General features: G+C 50.7%; 1 protein-coding gene across 1 annotated transcript; it reads right to left on the bottom strand.

The window, feature by feature from the left end:
* Nucleotides 1-8986: 8986 nt before the first annotated feature.
* On the bottom strand, nucleotides 8987-18334 carry PGA4 (pepsinogen A4). Its single transcript, NM_001079808.6, has 9 exons — nucleotides 18225-18334; nucleotides 17576-17738; nucleotides 15225-15342; nucleotides 14237-14355; nucleotides 13362-13561; nucleotides 11894-12010; nucleotides 10618-10762; nucleotides 10417-10515; nucleotides 8987-9299 (listed from the first exon to the last, which is right to left on the bottom strand). Exons 1-9 carry the CDS (start codon nucleotides 18278-18280, stop codon nucleotides 9150-9152), a joined length of 1167 nt encoding a protein of 388 aa, NP_001073276.1. The 5' UTR covers nucleotides 18281-18334; the 3' UTR covers nucleotides 8987-9149.
* Between the last annotated feature and the right edge of the window lie 194 nt (nucleotides 18335-18528).

Here is an 18528-nt window from a genome sequence, read left to right as displayed (position 1 = left end):
CCATTTCTTTCCTTTCTTTCCTGAGGGAGTTTTGCTCTGTCGCGCCGCCAGAGGCTTATTTCTGAAGCATTGACAAGGGCCTACATTAAAACTTTACAAGCTGAGCATTTCGACAAAGTTGTTTAAAAGTACTTTTAACACAGCAATGGACAGATGTGAAGGAGCCCCAGGTGGCCTGATTTGTCCCCGTGGTCACGCAGCTGGGGTTCTTAGAGAGCAGCCTCCCGACTCAGTCATAGGTGGTACTGGTTGTGGTCACTGCTTATTCACAGCACATTGGGGGGGTCAGTCGTTTGGGACTCAGGACACAATTCCCCACATAAGTGTCATTGTGTGGGGTTGTTGGGCATCTGACTAGCCTATGGGCCTTGTGGCTTGCTTTTGGTGCAACTGGGCTGAGTCTGGGAAGGAGATGTGCACAGTACACGGGGGAGGAGGGAGAGAGCACCGGGAGAATGCTGCCTTCCCTTCCTGGAGGAGGCAAACTTCAGACAGGCCAGGTATGTCTTTGGAATCTGTGTCCCTCCCTTTCTGCACCGCTTCTCTTTCTTTTGCTCCTTTCCCACCCTCTCCACCTTTGAGATCCCACCTGGGTCTGATTTCTCCAGGTGCTCCAGGCTTACAACTGGGTTGAAATCAGCTACAATGGAGCGAAGCAATCTGGGCAAACAATTCATACTCATGGGTGAGTGACTTAGAAAGAGGATGCTTGGCCGGGCGCCGTGGCTCACGCTTGTAATCCCAGTACTTTGGGAGGCTAAGACAGGTGAATCACCTGAGGTTAGGAGTTCAAGACCAGCCTGGCCAACATAGTGAAACCCCGTCTCTACTAAAAGTAGAAAAGTTAGCTGGGCATGGTGGTGGGCGCCTGTAATCCCAGCTACTGGGTAGGCTGAGGCAGGAGAATCACTTGAACCCAGGAGGCAGAGGTTGTAAGAGGTGAAGCCGTCTGGGCTTCTGAGTCGATTAGGGACTTGGAGAACTTTCGTGTCTAGCTAAAGGATTGTAAATGCACCAATCAACATTGTGTGTCTAGCTAAAGGCTTGTAAATGCACCAGTCAGCACTCTGTGTCTAGCTGAAGGGTTTGTAAATGCACCAGTAAGCACCAGCTATTACACTCCCCGCGAAGGTCTGCAGCTTCACTCCTGAAGCCAGTGAGAGCACGAACCCACCAGAAGGAAGAAACTCTGGACACATCTGAACATCTGAAGGAACAAACTCCGGACACACCATCTTGAAGAACTGTAACACTGATCGCGAGGGTCCACGGCTTCATTCTTGAAGTCAGTGAGACCAAGAACCCACCGGAAGGAACCAATTCAGGACATAGTTGCAATGAGACGAGATCTTGCCTCTGTACTCCAGCCTGCGTGACAGAGCTAGACTCCGTCTCAAACAAAACAACAACAATAACAAAAAAAAAAAGACAAAAGAAAAAAGAAAGAGGATCCTTACCAACCCAATGGATCCTCCACTTTGTGAGCTTTTATTCAGTGAAGAAAGTAGAGTGAAAACTCTGATGCAGAAATTGCTGGGGAGGAGGACAGGGGAGCGGGGAGGTCACCAGGTAGATAGGAAGCCCTGTCTCAGGGTCTTGTTCTGAAATCGGATCCCCTGGGGCATCCTCAGACTGTCCAGCCATGAGAGCCACAGGTTCTATAAAAGCTCCAAGTTGCCCCCAGTGCCTCCAGGTGAGTATTGAGGAGTGGGCAGTGTGGATAAGTTCAGGGACAGTGGTGGTTGGTAGAAAACACATTGACATTACACACTCCCCAGTTAGTTGAAATCTTTGTGCCCCAAATGTGAATCCTGGGCCCATTTTCTTTTGTTTTCTTTTCTTTTTTTTAACTGTGAATGTTACTCCAGTATGACTAGCCCTTGTATTTTCCACGTTCACGTCCTCTGGTGCCTCCTTCTCTTCCTCTCAAGCTTCTCTCTCTCTCTCTCCCTTTCTTTTTTTTTGAGACAGGGTCTTATTCTGTCACTCAGGGTAGAGCGTAGTGGCATGAACATGGCTTACTGCAGCCTCAACCTCCCACGCTCAATCAGTCCTCTGGCCTCAGGCTCTGAGTAGCTGGGACGAAAGGCATGAGCCACTACACCCAGCTAACTTTTGTATTTTCTGTAGAGACAGGGCTTCACTATGTGGCCCAGGCTGGTTTCGAACTCCTGGGCTCAAGCGATCTTCCTGCCTCAGCTTCTCAAAGTGCTGGGATTACAGTGAACCACACTGCACCTGGCCCTCTCTCTCTTTATGGATACATAATATTTTACATATTTTTTGGGTTCATGTGATATTCTGTTACATGCATAGAAAGAGTAATGATGAAGTCAGGGTATTTGGAGTATCCGTCACCTTAAGTATGGGTTGATCCTAGCACTCATGTGAGGAACCTGATGGTCCTGAAGATGCTGCCTAAGTTCTGGGGGCACCAGATGGAATCCCCTCACTCAAGGCTGCCACCAGATGGAAGGGAGGGAGCTTAGAGCCCAAGGATGGGCACTGATTTTGGGGGCACAGTTTGTCTGGGGCCCACATGGGAATTTTGAGCAGAGAAGTATATTTGGGAAGCAGAAGGAAGATTCCCCAGGCAGAAACGTGCAAGCCCCTTTACACATTCATTCAAATGCCTTATTGTGCACTTGCTGTGTACCGTGCAGGGATGCTCTAGCTCCGGAGGGTACATCCCTGAGCATGGTAGGACTAGGCCGTGCCTTTGGCGCATTTGTGGTCAGTTGAAGGGAAAGCTGGTGTGGAAGGGGCTCTTCCTTTCCACCTGGATGGATATTTGGATCACATTGAGGGGAAGCTCTCAGATTGGTGAAGATGATAATGTTTCTCCACATTAGAGATTTTAGCACCCTGAGGGACGCTGGCATGCTTGCTGACACCAATTCAGGGGTATGGCAGAGAGACTGTAGGATGGCCCCCAATTATTCATGCTGCTGGTGGTCACACCCCTGTATAATCCCCTCCCCTTTTGTGTAGGCAGGACTTGCTTCTAACTAACAGGATACAGCAAAGTAGATGGGATGTCAGTTTTGTGATGACATTATACAGGCTTGTAGCTTGTGTCTTGCTAGCACACTCTCTGTATAGACTCTTCCCCTTGCTGACTCTGATAAAGAAAGCTGCTCTATAAAGAGGCCCAAGAGGAAGGAACGAAGGGTGGCCTCCAGCTGACAGCCAGCAAGGAACTCAGGCTTTCAGTGTGACAATCTGCAAGTAACTGAATCCTGCCAGCAAGCGTGTGAGCATGGAAGCAGATCCTTCTCCAGTCAAGCCTCAGATGAGACCACAGACCAGGCTGACATCCCTGACTGACAGAGGCCTCAGCTGAACCGAGCCTGGATTCCTGACCCACAGAAACTGAGATAGTGAGTCAATGTGAGTTGTTATAAGTCATTCAATGTGTGTTAACTTCTCATCAGCAATAGAAAACAGGACTGGAAACCTTGTTGATAACTCGAAAAGGATCCACCTGATTGCCTCTTGCTCTTCCCTCTTTTGGGACCATTTCAGTGCTCTGCTAGTTGTTTTTCTGCTCAGGTAATGTGAGTGATCTGAAAAGGGGGAAGGTGACATTGTTGGTCAGGTCATCTGCAAATCTCCCACCACACAGCAGTGCTTACATTTGTGTGCCTATTTGTGCTTTTCTGAATGCTTTGAATTATTTTAAAAAAGAATTATTATACTATAACCCCCACTTTTTCGCAAGTGATGTAGCTCAAAGGGGTTAAGTGATCAGTGCAGGTTCACATAACTAAGTAATGACACAGATGGGACCTGAACCTGGGTCTCCGGAGGCTCTGGTCCCTGGCCAGACTATGTGACCATGTACATCCACCTGGTTTCTGTTCATGGGTTAGCGTGTGACAGGAATATTCCATGATGGCTGCAGCCTCCCTCCCAGGTGCACTTGGAGAAGCCATTCCACTCAGCCCCCTTTACTAGAGGAACCCTTGGGATGGAAAAGGGAATCCTGATTCTGCAACCACGTGCTCCCATGGGATCTGATTGTCAGCCAGGGCTGATCCGTGGCTGCCAGCAAGGAAGCCGCAACATCTCATTGTACGAGACTGGCCCGGCAGAAAGATTAGACAGCAACGTTTGCTTTGCCATTAGCCCTGCCTGGCACTCAGTATGGTATTGCCTGGCTTTCAGGGGGACTGGTAGCAGTGTCTCTGATGCAGGGCAGCCCCTGCCAATGGCACAGGTGTTCATAAATGTTCCATGAACCAATCAAATCAAGCAATGGAATGAGATCTAAGGAACCCAATCATGGCAAGGCTGAGATGGAGCACTTAAGCATGATAAGTGTTATCAAGCTGGTGTGATAGGCATTGGGGCAGCTGGTCCCCTAGCAGCTTTCAATCAAGGTCTCACCCCAGGGACATGATCTTCCAACACCAAAGAGAACACTGTGTTTTCCACTCCCCAGTCCCAGACCTGGGCTGCTTCTCCAGAGATGCCTGCAGGTTTTCAAAGCTAAATTGATGATAACTTTTTTGGCTCAAGTATAGAAGTAATACATGATCACTGTAGATTATTTATAGATAAATACAATTTTAAAAATGACTTTTAACCCCACTACCCAGAACTAACCACCACTGGCGTAGTAAATGAATATATTGATTTACTTACAAATATAGGACCACAAGATATGGCACATGTTGTTTTGCAAGCAACCCGCTTTGATGGGCCCAGCTCACTTCTGCTGCGCTACTCTATCTGCAACCTGAACCCGCTTTTAAAAGAAAAATCATGGTTCTGTATTTTACAAGTGATTTTTATAAATCTACATGATCATTTTAAAACTTTTCTCAAAATATGATATGCACACAGAAAGGTGCATATCATAAGAAACAGCTTGATGAATTTTCACAAACCAAGCACACACGTGTAACCACAACCCAGACCCAGCAAAAGAGCATGTCAGGTACCCCTGGAGCCCACCCCAGGCTCTTCCCAGTCACTATCCTAGGGCCAAACCAAGCGTATCACTACTCTGATTTCCAAACAGCAAAGATTCATTTCACCTGTTTTTGTACTTTTGCTAAGCAGTACCACATAACAAGCACTTTAGTTTGCATTGCGCTTCTTTGCTCAAAATCATGTTTAGGAGAGGCATCCACGAATGGCGGTGTGTGGAGTTGTTACTCAGTCATTTTCATTGCTGTGTATTATTCCTCTGCATCAATATACCCGCTATTTTCTCTTTTTCAGTTCATAGGCATTTGGGTAGCTTCCAGTGTGGAGTTCTTAGGAACAGTGCTCTATGAATGTTCTCTTGTATACACATCTTCTTTCTTTTCCTTTTATTTATTTATTAAAAACAATAGAAATGAAGTCTTGGTATGTTGCTCAGGCTGGTCTTGAACTATGGCCCGAAGCAGTCCTGCCGCCTTGGCCTTCCCAAGTGCTGGGGTTACACCATGAGCTACTGTGCCTGGCTGTTTTCTTTTTAATTGACATGTAATAATTGTACATATTTATGGGTACATAAGGATGTTTCTGTACATATAATGTTTAGTGATCAGATCAGAGTAATTAGCATATTTATCATCTTGAACATTTATCATTCCTTTGTTTTTTTTTTGGAGACAGAATCTCGCTGTGTCGCCCAGGCTGAAGTGCAATGGTGCCATCTCGGCTCACTGCAACCTCCACCTCCCGGGTTCGAGAGATTCTCCTGGCTCAGCCTCCCAAGTAGCTGGGAATTACAGACATGTGTCAACACGCCCGGCTCATTTTGTATTTTTTGTGGAGATGAGGTTCCACCATGTTGGCCTGGCTGGTCTCAAACTCCTCACCTCAGGTGATCCACCTGCTTCGGCCTCCCAAAGTGCTGGGATTACAGGCGTGAGGATTATGTGAGCCACCGTGCCTGGCCGGCATATGCATTTTTAATTTTGATAGATACAGCCACATCATGCTTCTTAGGGTGGTGCCAGTTTACACTCCCACCAGCAGCGTGTGGAGTGATCATTTGGGACAGGTGAGGATGGATGGGGCAGGAGACCTGTGAGATTAAAATAACACTCCTGGATGAGTGTGAATGAAAAGGATGGAAGGAGCTGTGCTTCGACCCCAGGGCCCTTCGAGGAGGATGCATGGAGCAGAGGCCTGAGACTGCAGGAAAGGATTGTGAATTCATCTTCTGTTGTGCAGCAACATGAGGAGGATGAAATCAGATATGTTGGCACAGGGCTTTCTGGTCAAATGATCTGTCTGATGAGGAACGTCTTTAGATTGTGACAGGGTTCAGGAATCCCAGGGTGGGAATGGAAGAGGTGCTGGGCGAGAGAGGCTGAGCTGCAGCTGCTGGTGTTGAGATGGGGGAGGAAGGAAGGCTGGGATCAGGTGCAGGAGAACAGATAGGATCCAGGAAGACCTGCCTTCCTATATCCCCGGAGCCTAGCACACTGCCTAGCTTCAAAGTAGGTACATGGGAAATATCAGAAAAATAAATCCAGCAAAGAAGCCAGGACAGGGTGAAATTCCTTCCCAGAAACTTGAGAAATCCACCTGCTTATCCCATGACAGAATATGACGGGGATGGAATGTTGGTGGGGGTGGGAGCTGACCCACCTGTTGTTATTCACATGGCCTTTGTCAAACCATATCCCCACTCTCATACTCTCATCCTATCTGAGATGGTTCCTTTCAAAAAGTCTTCTCTAATCACTCATTCAGCAAATATTTATTGACCTCCTAGTATGTGCCAAGCCCGGCTCTTGCTGCTTGGGCTTCAAACCTAATTAAAACCATCACCATCCCTGTCCTTGTGAATCTTAAACACTGAAATGCATGGTTATAGGTAGTGCCAAGTACCATGAGGGAAAATGTAGGCCCAGGCTCTCTGAGAGAGTGGTGAGGGAGGGCTGATCACTTTTACAGGGAAGTGACATTTTTTTTTTTTTTGAGACGGAGTTTTGCTCTTGTTGCCCAGGCTGGAGTCCAGTGGTGCAATCTCGGCTCACTGCAACATCCACCTCCTGGGTTAAAGCGATTCTCCTGCCTCAGCCTCCTAAATAGCTGGGACTACAGGTGCCCACCACCACACCCAGCTAATTTTTTGTATATTTTTAGTGGATATGGGGTTTCACCATGTTGGCCAGGCTGGTCTCAAATTCCTGACCTCAGTTAATCTGCCCACCTCGGCCTCCCAAAGTGCTGGGATTATAGGCGTGAGCCACCAAGCCTGGCTGAGAAGTGACATTTAAGCCACGTCTGCAGATGCTAGGTGTTAGCTAGTCAAGAAAGAGGGAAAAGCAACCCTGGCAAAGGGAACAGCATGTGCAAAGTCTGGAGGTGGGAAAACACTTGGGCTATTGTGGCCGTGGGAGGCCAGGGTGGAGGGAGCTCGGGGTAACGGGATCAGAGTGAAGCAGGGAAGGTTTGGAGGGAAAGGAGCACACAGGACGTGGGACTATGCCAAAGATTTGCTGTTTTATTCCAACGGCAATGGCAAGAAGGCATTAAGAGTTTAAAGCAAGGAAGGGATGAGATGAAATTTATGTTTCCTAAAGTTTATTCAGCTATGGAAAATGGGCTTGGGAGGGTGAGAGTGACCCTGGGGAGACTGGGTGTTGGAGCTCACCCCCGCCCTTCCTAGAGCCCAGCTCCAGCCTCTGGGCTTGTGTCTTCAGCAGAAAGCCTGGGTCGGCTGTCACCAGAAGCAGGAGCTATGGGAATTTTCCCAGCATGCATGCCGGGGAGCCCAGGGCTGTAATAGACTTACTAGCAAGAGAGAGTCTGAGATGAAGCTCAGCTGAGTTAAAAAGAAACAGATCACTTTGCAGCAGGGCTTGTCAGAGCCTTTGATTGGGAACTGTAGCTGGTGAACCCTGGGGAAGGGCCTAGAATGTAGCATGTTCTATACTTATTCTGAAACTGTGTTTTCCATTGAACATTTTGCTACCAAGCCCAGTCTGAGAAACTGCTCCATTTCCTCTTTGCCTTTCTAGGGCATATATGCTAATGAACATGCTTAATTCTCTGTCTCACAACCTCTGCTCAGGGAAGTGGAAGACCTTTCTCTTTGGTTACAGATGGGGAAAGAGATGGGTTCAGTGTTTTCTGCCTAGGACCTTGGGGAGATTAACTGTTAGTCTTGGTCTTGGTAGCCAGTGAATCACAAGGGCATCCTGGAAGACTGTGGGGTGTCAGCTTCTTCCACTTCTCCTGTCCACGTCTTGCAGACAACTCTGCCCTGTCCTATCTACTTAGGGACATCACCATTAGTGTCTACCTCTCGTGACTCTCCTGATTGCTTTCCTTTCCTCATGATCTCTTTTCTTTTTTTGTTTTTTTTTGAGATGGAGTCTCGCTCTGTCGCCCAGGCTGGAGTGCAGTGGTGCGATCTCAGCTCACTGCAACCTCCGCCTTCCAGGTTCAAGCGATCTCTTGGCTCAGCCTCCTGAGTAGCTGGGATTATAGGTGCGCACCACCACACCCAGCTCATTTTTGTAAATTTATTAGACAGGGTTTCACCATGTTGGCCAGGCTGGTCTCAAACTCCTGACCTCAGGTGACCTGTCCGCCTCAGCCTCCCAAAGTGCTGGGATTACAGGCGTGAGCCACTGTGCCCAGCCTTCTCATGATCTCTTATTGGCTTTGGGAGAAGTAGGAGGTTGACTCCCTCAACTAAGAGCTTCAGTGACCTATTTTTTTCTTTCTGAGCTGGAGTCTCTCTGTGTCGCCCAGGCTGGAGTACAATGGCACGATCTCAGCTCTGTGTCCCTTCTATGAGAAGACAATTAGCCCAGTATTTTGACCCCCAGGTCTTTTTATGATGCTTCCAGCACAACCCCCGAAGCCTCTCTGTCTTCTTGGCTCCATCATGAAGTGTCAGCTGCTGGGGTCACTATGTTGGGTGCCATCCAAATGGATGTGGTCATTTTCATCCCTGCCCTGGCGTTCTAACCCCAGTAATGTGAAGGAAAAAGACCAGCAAAGAGAAGCAGCTCCACAAAACCTGTTTCAGTGGGTTATGTTTTTATTCTACGTTATTGGTAGGACAGGGAACAGGGCCAAGACCTCCACACTCCCCTGGGAAGAACAGTCAGGAGAATTAGATACATCTAAAGTGGGCACAGGACAGAGGCCAGATCTTCCTGGGAGGTGGCTGAAGAGACTTAGGCTTAAGCCACGGGGGCCAGGCCGACCTGGTTGTTTGCCCTGTCGAAGACGGTAAAGTACTGGCGGATGAAGACATCACCCAGGATCCAAAGCTCTCCAGATTCGGTGGGGAGGTTCATGCCCTGGAAGCCACTGATGCAGCTCCCCTCGCTCTGGAGAAAAGGAGAATAAAAGTGGAGCTGGGACACCGATTCAGCCGTGATAGGCGCTGGGTGATAAACATCCAGGGCGCCCTGGTCCAGCTGTAAGGCACGTGCAAGGAGGAGCTTCCTGGCTCAGTGTCCAGGGACTCGGCTGTTCTTGGCCTGGAGTCGGCCTGTAGAAGCCGTCCACTGAACGACTGGTTTCTACGCATTACTGGACATTATCTGGTGTTTCTGGCAGGCACACGAACCCTGACATCAGCATTGGTGCTAAGGGGCTTAGGGAGAATTCAGCTGCTAGGAAGGAGTTTGAAAACCCTGCCGCCATAGCCTTTTCTCATTATTATTCTGATCCGGTCAGAGGCAAACCAGATGAGCTATTAGCCCTCTTGCCTCACTAAGTCACTGGGCTGCGACCTTGTCTGCACATCACCTGGGGAGCTTTGAACCCCCGCAGCCCCATCCCATTGCTCAGGCCTTGCCCTCTCCTAATGTAATCAGAATCAGTGGGGGAGCCCAGGCATCAGTGCTTCTTGTTGAGTAACATGAGTCCACTGGCAAAATTAGTTTTCCACCTGACGTTATGATAACAGAAGGGAAAGAGTTTTCTTGTGGCTCGTATAGCTAAAGATTTGCTACTTGGTAGAGATGGTAGAAGTGTCAGAAGCCCCAGCCTATGGAAATTAGGATTTCCATTTGCCCAACCCTTGGTAGCTCTGATGTGATCAGTCTCACTTGGTTGACCTAACCGCACTCTGAGGGTGGGGAAAGCTGCCATCTCTACTTTTTGGATGAGAAAACTGAGGGTGAGATGAGCTGTAGCTTGCTCAGAATCAATGGGCTAGTAATTCAGACCCAGGACTTGGACCCAGGGGTCCAAATAGAATCCTCTTTTCACTCCATTAACCTTTGCTTCACTTGTTCCCTTAGGGGGCTGTATCCGAGTTCTTATTCCTGCATTTGTTTTTAATATATTCTTTTTCTCTGGAGGCTGTCTAGGGCAGATGTTCGTCTGCCTCTGCCTGCTGGCTTCAGCTCGTGGAAGTGTACTTTCCGTCTGCAGAGGGGAACTCTGTGTCCACATTCTGTGTGAACCCCTCTAGTGGATGGTCCAGAGCCTCCTCACCTGCAGGATGTAGGCACTGGGTGGCACGGGGTACTGGACTCCATTGATGGTGAAGACGATGTCGGGCAGGCTGCTGATGGCTGAGCAGCTGACCACCATCTGGAAAGAGTGAGGGTGAGAAAAGTTAGAAGGGTTTCTGTCCCTTCTGCCTGGCACACCCACTACTTGAGTGTAGAACAGAGCAGTCGGGGCTGGACTCACGTCGCCATCTGAGTTCTCGCTGGCTCCGATGTCGCTCTGGATGTTGGCAATGGGGCTGGTTGGGCCGGTCAGCAGAGAGGTGCCGGTGTCAACAATGGCCTGGCAGCCCTCAGCGCAGGCGATGGCCTCTCCGTTCATGGTGATGCTGAGGGCAAGAAGCAAGTTAAGCTCCCTGAGCTCTCAGGGGTACTTCTCTCCAAGGAGGAACTAGGAGGTGAGCCCAGACATTTCTTCCCCACCCATCCATTGGCCAATGCGTGAAATTTCTGTTCCTCTCGTTCACGCACTCATTCGTCCCGCATTCATTTGCCCAACAAATATTTCCCAAGTGCCTACTCTCTGCCAGGCATGGGAAATGCCAAGTGAAACAAGACAGCCTCACAGTTCCAGGCTGCAGGGAGCTCCCTGCCTAGCTGGCAAGATAAGTTATGTTGGCAGAAGGGCAAGATGATCAGTCAGGCATGAGGCAGGGAACAAAAACAGGGTCCAGGGTGAGAGGTGGTGGAGGGGAGCAGCCAGGGGAACAGACACCCTGGAATGCCAGGCAGGTGAAGAGAGAAGGAGGACATCATCAGGGGATGGTATGCGGGGAGGTACAGAGACCAGAGGGCTGGGGCAGGTGTTGGAGGAACTGGTGAAATTCTAGCATGGCTGGGCAGACATGAGGTGATCCATGTGTCCTGGTTTGCCTGGGCTGGTCCCAGTTTTAGTACTGAAAGTCTCTGTCCTGGGAAATTGTTCATTCTTGGGAAAACCCACACCACTGAGCACGCTAGCAGGCTAGCTGGGGAAGAAGAGCGTGGAAATGAAGCTGCAAGGGAGACCGGGGAGGCCCTGAAGGGGAGGGTGGAATGAAGTGACTTCACACAATTTCTTAGCCATTTTGCCCCACTTCTAGACGGAAAGTGACATGTTTCCTCGAGTGGCAGGAGCGTGTGCTGGTTCACCGGCCCCTTAAATTGTCAGATGCGTGGACAGGTGGGTCCCCCAGCTCTCCCCAGGGATGCTGGTGGATGGTCCTGCCTCCGTGACTAGGAGGACAGTGGCTATCTCACCCTTGCAGAGTCTTGGCTTCCTAGACAGCTCTTCCCTCCTCCTGCAGGGAGGTGTCTTTCTAGGGGTCTCTGGCTTGGCCAACTTCCACCTTCCCCCTGGAGTGTGTTCCCCTGTGCCAGCTGTTCCTGGGGGGATTCTGGAAAGCTGATTGGCTATGAATCCATAAGGAAATGGGATCTGGGGCCCAGGCCTGGATGCTGCCCGTTCATGGCAGTCTCACCTGTCCACGGTGATCTGCCAGTAACCCTCGACGGTAACAGGCACCCAGTTCAGACTTCCAGTGTAGTAAGAAGAGTCAATGCCACCAAAGATCACCACGCTGCCACTCTGGTCATCGCTGTGGAAAGTGAGGGGAGAAGACATGAATTTTTTTGTTCGTCCATTTGTGTGACCATCTGCTGTTGCCTCCTCAGGGCTACCCTTGATTGGGCACTTTCTAGGGCTGTCCTGCGGTGTGACTAATGTGGTTTCTTTTCCTCTTAGGCCAGTGCCTATGCAGTGGGCACTGTCACTGTTATTTCCACTTACCATGAGGACACTGAGCCTGAGGGAGGTGAGGCCACCTGCCCAAGGTCATACAGCGGGGGAGTGGTGGAACTACGTTTGGAAGAACACAGGCCTTTTAGGTTGAGTCTGTGGTTTCCATGGTGGTACCCACTCTGGTTGCCATGGGGACCCCAGGGAAGTGAATGCATGACAGTGTCCGCTCTTAAGGACTTGAGGGTGGAGGTCACTGGTTCTTAGCTGGGAGCAGTTTTGCCCCCAGGGGAATGTCTGGAGACATTTTGGATTGTCATGATTGGGTGGGGGTAGGGGATGCTGCCGGCATCTCATGGGTAGAGGCTGGGGATGCTGCCAAACATCCTACAATGCACGGGACAGTCCCTGGCGGCAAGCTCTTATGTTGGTCTGAAATGTTAATAGTGCCCAGATTGAGAAACTCGGATCTGGCTGGGGAGATGCAATGGCCCCACATGAAATATTTAAGTGCTCATAAAGGCAGATGATGTTTCAGAGCCACCTTGAACATTAACTGGCCAAGAAGAATACATGACAAAGAGCCTTCCTGTGGTAAATTGCAGGAGTCCTTGTTATTGCAATATTCATGTTCTAAATTTCTGCAGTTTCAGGTTAGATGAGGAAGCAAATGTAGACAGCAAGAAGAAATTAGTCATCCAGGGCCGGGCACGGTGGCTCACGCCTGTAATCCCAGCACTTTGGGAGGCTGAGGCAGTCAGGTGATCGAGACCATCCTGGCTATCACCATGAAACCCAGTCTTGAATTCCTGACTTCAGGTGATCCTGCTGCCTCAGACTCCCAAAGTGCTGGGATTACAGGCATGAGCCACCACACCTGGCCAAGTGTATTCACTTTAAATGGCATCTTTGCGGGCCAAGGATGAGGGAAGTGGTACTGAGGGGGAAATGGCTGATGACATTTGAGTTGTGCACATCAAGGGGACAAAGATGCTGGTAAAATAAGATGGAGTGCACATGGCCCGTCAGAGACAGACTTGGCACTATTACTCTCCAAAGACACACTTCTCCAGCCTCAGACATTGACTTTCAAATCCCTTGCTTCCCAAGACCCTCTCCATCGCACCCAGCCTTGGACAGCTCCTGCTGGGCAGGAACACTGTGACCTCTGGAGGGGGAGGTGGGAGGAGGCCCCTCTCCACTCAACTTACGCGCTGAGGTAGACAGAGAAGAGGTCCTGAGAAACCAGGCCCTGGTTCCAGATGTTGTCAAAGACGGGTGTGGCCCCGGAGGAGGAAATGCTGGGGTAGGCCAGCCCCAGGATGCCATCGAAGGGAGCATAATACAGGAAGGAGCCAGGTTCCGTCTCGCTCAGGCCGAAGATCTGATTGGTGTCAGAGATGCCTCCAACCTGGGTGGGGAAACCGAGATGATGTTCACCATCGGGTCATGTTCACTGAGCTCTGGATGCCAGCCTCAGGCCCAGAGCCACCCTGGTTCATCTCATGCAGGACTTGGCTTCCAGGGTATCAGCCCGGGAGGAGGGCAGAGGGACTGTCTGCTGGAATGCTGGTTCCTCTGCTGGAGGTAACCATGGCAGCTGATCTCCAGATGGCTACAGTCTATGACTCAGGGTGAGATTTTGCTGGAGAACAGATGGTCACTGTGTGTTTGTGTTTCTGATGAACAAACGCAAAGCAGACCCCAGACCCCAGGCCTTTGACCCCTGCCATGCCCCGAAAGTGGCAGGGAGGGCTTGTGGAGATTTCGTGACTTGGGGTGCTGCATGTCGGGAGAAGAAGGAAGAGGAGGAGGTGCTAGTAGAGAAGTGAGCCTTTACTGACTCTCCCCACACTCCATAACATTCTGCTTGGGTGGAGCTGAGTCTGGGTTATGGCTCCTGGCACCCCACCCTTTTACTCACTGCCACCCGAGCTAGCAATGTCTGTGACATCTCTGCTGCTTCTCCCCCACCCCGCACCCCCAATCAGGTTACTTCTGTGATCACCAAGACTCATCTTGCTGGAATAAGCTTATTTTGGGGGTGCCTGATGGGGGGATGCAGCGGCAGCCTGCAGGTGCCCACCTGGACAGTGTCGTATCCGAGGATGCCTGTCATGCTGCCGGTGCCGTAGGTGATGGAGACTGTCTCGCTGGTGGACTGGTAGGTGGAAGAATCCTCAGGGTTGAAGCGGTTGTGGTTGGCTGCAAGGACAAGCGGTGAGTGTTATTCTCTGAGAGCTGGGTGAAGGTCATGGGCTGGATGTCTTCCTGGGATGGGGTGCCCTGGCCCTGGGACGGGCTCTGGAGGTGAGCAGCGACCTTTCGCCCTAGACCCTTGGAGCCCAAGAGACCCCAGGTTCTGTCCTGTCTCGTTGAACTACTGGGACCATTCACTGGTGGCAGTTTCCCCAGCCAACCCCAAGGGCCTCCTGGAGACCTCCCCAGACCAACATAGAGCGGAGCAGGCCCGTGGCTACCCAGTGACGAGCGCTTTCACCCTCTAGCCCCCAGCCAGTGCTCCCGTTATGATGTGGATGATGCCACAGGCACCTCATCTTCATTAAAACTCCAGTGAAAACACTAGAAGAGGAAGGAACCTGCAACACACATTGTTCATGACTTCCAAAGACAAACTCTCTTTCATTAGCAAACCAATGATTCTTTTTTTTTTTTTAAATGAGCTCAGCACTGACCTCTAGCCTGTCCTAGCCAGGCTTTGAAGCCATTTTCTCACACTGGACTCTTTCCTGGTGGGCTATTCTACAGCCCTTTGGCCCTGTCTTGCTTTGGGCCCCCCATACTTCCTCTCCCAGCCTGTGGTTATTGAGGAGAGCTTCTCTCTGCCCTCAGACTGTGTAGTCTTTGACCGCAGGGATCATATCACTCATCCCTTTACCCCCTGGAGCACCTGAGCCCAGTGCTTGGCACGTAGTAGGTGCTCAATAAATGCCTGTTGAGTGGCTCCAGCAGGCTTGAGGTGGGAACTGTTTGAAGCCCGTGGGTGTCCAGGGTTCCCCAGGGTCGGCTGGTGCTGGGGAGTGAGAGTGGGGTAGGGCGGTCTGGGCACTTACTGCAGGCAAGACTGGAGCAGTAGACTGAGGGCACCCACAGGTTGGAGGAGCCGGTGTCAAAGACGACGGTGAAATCCTGGGCAGGAGTTCCGATGCCGATAGTGCCGAAGTACTCCATCTGTCCAGGCGAGGACAGGGCAGTTCACGGAACGGGGTCTCTCTGTCAGGGCCTCCCTAGGGGCTGTCTCTGGGTCATCTCCTCAGTCTGCCTCTCCATCTTTTCCTTCATTCCTCACAGTTCTTATCTTTCTCTTCCCAGCCACTGTCTTCATCCTTCAAATCCCAGCCCTGGCGTCCCTTCCTCCTTGAAGTCTTCCCTGATTGCTCCCCCAATTTACCCTCTGCTCTCTGTTAAGCACCACAAGCACCTAACAATCTGCTGTTCCCTCTTTAGCCATTGTCTTGTCTGTCACAGTCTTCCCATCCGTACAGCGCATGTTCTCAGAGGATGGCGGTGGAACCTTCTAGCACCGGGCAAGTTACAGCTTAAGTGCTTGTGCCTTAAATTGTTTATCAGAAGCTAAGCAAGCCACTTAAAGATGGAAACCTGTCCAGTTTTCTTATTTCTACATCTAGATGTGTATAGCAGGTTGCAAGAAAGGGCATTGACAGTATTTTTATTCTTTTTTTTTGAGACAAGTCTCACTCTGTTGTCCAGGCGGGAGTGCAGTGGCGCGACCTCGGCTCACTGCAGCCTCCTCCTCCTGGGTTCCAGTGATTCTCCTGCCTCAACCTCCCAAGTAGCTGAGATTACAGGTGTGTGCCATCATGCCCGGCAAATTTTTGTATTTTTAGTAGAGACGGGGTTTCACCATGTTGCCGGGCTGGTCTCGAACTCCTGACCTCAAGTGATCCACCCGCCTCCGCCAATCAACCAGTATTTTTCTTGTTAGTGGCAGCATTTTCCCCCTGCCGGCTCTGTTCCCGCCACACTGGTCTGCTTGCTGTTCTTTGGCGATGACCAGTCACTCCTGCCCTAGGGCCTTTGCACTGGCTATTCCTTGTGCTAGGAAAATGTTTATTCTAGATCTTTCCTTGGCTGATCCTTTTATCAAAAATCAATCATTCAGCTCTCTAGTCAAATGTCCCCTCTGCCAACAGGCCTTCCGTGACCACTTTATCTAAATTTGCCCCCTCTCAATCTTCTTGTTCCCCATGCTCCCATTAATTAATTTGCCAAGGCCCTTATCATTACCTGAAATTATCTTACATGGTTGTTTATTTGTTATCCCCTTTAGAGTATAAGCTCCAGGAACTTTGATTATTCACCATCATTTTGGCAACTTGCATAGCCTCTGGCACATAGAGAGGTGCCAATATTTGTTAAATATTTGTGAACTAAATAAATGCGCTAATTAAGCCTCTTACCAAGGGCCTGGCAGACCCCATGCTAAGCACTCCAGAAAACATGATCGTGTTAATTCCTGGCAACATCCTCTGACGGTAGATATTAGTGGTTCTGTTTTCCAGACCAAGACACAGGCTCAGAGTATTTAAATGACTTGGCCAAGGTCCTGTGGCTTAGAGGCACTAGGACCCATATTTGCACCAGGTCTGCTGGATGGCAGAGGCCAGTCTCTGAACCACAGGCATCACTGCTTTGTGCCCTGTGCCAGTCACAGAGGGGACATACAATATCTGCAGGAGGGCAGGGTGTTTGCTATCGGGTCTCAAATAACAAAGTCAGGGTGATCTTTCTGAAACTCAGATCTGATCTTGTCATCCCCCTGTTTAAGATAAATCAGAGGCAGTTAGGATGGAGCCTCTCTGCGTCCACCCCTCAGTTCCTCGGACCGCAGTCTGCAGCACCCTTCTTCCCTCCCTCTCGGCTCCCCTTCAAAGGCACTGTGCTCCCGCCTGCTACAGGGTTTGGCACAAGGGATCAGGCTATGCGGAGTTCTGTCTTGTTCTCTTGGAAACTCCTGCTCTTCCTGCGTGGCTCCAGGGAGGCTCCCTGCCCAAGTGGCAGACTCTCGCAGTGTGACACCGTCACTCTGTAGTCCTCCTGCTGCCTGTTCTTTTCATTGGTTTGCGAGACCCCTTGATGACTGTGTTTGTCTCCTAGGCTATGAGTTTGCTCACTGCTGTCTCCCCCTGAGCCCAGCACAGGCCCTGAAATAGAATGAGGCGCTCAGAGAAATTAACATTGCATGAACGAGTGAACGAATGAATGAATGAACTCTGACTGTGAGCTTTCCTGCCTGCCCTGGGCCACTGACATCTAGGGGGCAGACTCTGGGTCACTGCCTGGAGCCACAGAGCCCAGGCCCGTCCTCCAAGACCCCTGGGACACCCTCTTTCCTGCGGGCCAAGTCCTCAGAGCTGGCCCCACCACTTGCCCGCACACTCACATCCAGGTAGTTCTCCAGGGGCTGTTCATCTACCAGGGTGGGAGCCTCCCACTGGGGGAAGTACTTTCTGGCTGGGTTGAGGTTGTGCTTCTTCAGGAAGTCCTTCAGCAGGCCACGCTCGGACAGGGTGCGCCTCAAGGACTTCTTTCTGATGAGGGGGACCCTGTGGTTTGGAGAAGGAAGAGGAATTAGGCAAGGATTCTGCTGACCGGGTGCTGTGGCAGCCCCAGAAGGGAAGGGAAGCTGGTCTAAGAGAGGAAGAAGGAAGGAAAGGAGACGCCCCCTCTTCTGCCCAACAATGCAAAGAAGTTAAGTTGACTAGTGCTGGAGCTGGGAGCCAAACCCAGGCTGGACTCTTAACCAGCTGATCTAAGAGAGGAAGATGGAAGGAAGGGAGAAGCTCCCACTTCTGCCCCATAATGCAAAGAAGTTAAGCTGACTAGGGCTGGAGCTGGGAACCACAGTCAGGCTGGGCCCGAGTTTTAACCATGTCTGCAGGGCTGCCTCCCAAAAAGGCAGAGAGAGAGGCGGAAAAGGGGGATGGAGACAGCTGAAGAGAGAGAGAAAAAAAAGGGAAGAAGGAAGACACGGGAGGAAAGAAAGGTGATGTGGGAGGCAGCGTCTTCACACCCACACCACCCGGACTCACTTGTACATGATGCACTCAGAGAGCGCCACCAGACCCAGCAGCAGCAGCCACTTCATGGTTCTTCCCGGGTCCCAACTCGAGGGAGAAGGCAAGATGGGAGGAAGGTGCAGAGCAGCAGCATGAGCTGCCCCTTATATACAAGTTGGGTCCCGCCTTATCGGCCTCTGAAAGTCACCGGTTCCCCTGATCCCAAACAGAGAAGCTCCTGATAAGATTGTGGCTGCCCTGAGCCACATTCTGAGACCTTTCCAGCTGAGGCACTTTCCATTGTAACCTTGCACCATGGGGAGGGGGGAGGGTGCCA

Source organism: Homo sapiens, chromosome 11 (assembly GCF_000001405.40).
Source record: "Homo sapiens chromosome 11, GRCh38.p14 Primary Assembly".
Taxonomy (NCBI): domain Eukaryota; kingdom Metazoa; phylum Chordata; class Mammalia; order Primates; family Hominidae; genus Homo; species Homo sapiens.
Note: the sequence above shows the minus strand (reverse complement) of the source record. Positions and strands in the feature narration are given on the sequence as shown.

Coding starts and splice junctions, on each gene's coding strand:
- PGA4 (NM_001079808.6), bottom strand. CDS start 18,280: ATGAAGTGGCTGCTGCTGCTGGGTCTGGTGGCGCTCTCTGAGTGCATC. Junction 13,562..14,236: donor TCGGATACGACACTGTCCAG/GTGGGCACCTGC, acceptor TTCCCCACCCAG/GTTGGAGGCATCTCTGACAC. Junction 9,300..10,416: donor CCAGTGCCTACATCCTGCAG/GTGAGGAGGCTC, acceptor CCTTTTCTCCAG/AGCGAGGGGAGCTGCATCAG.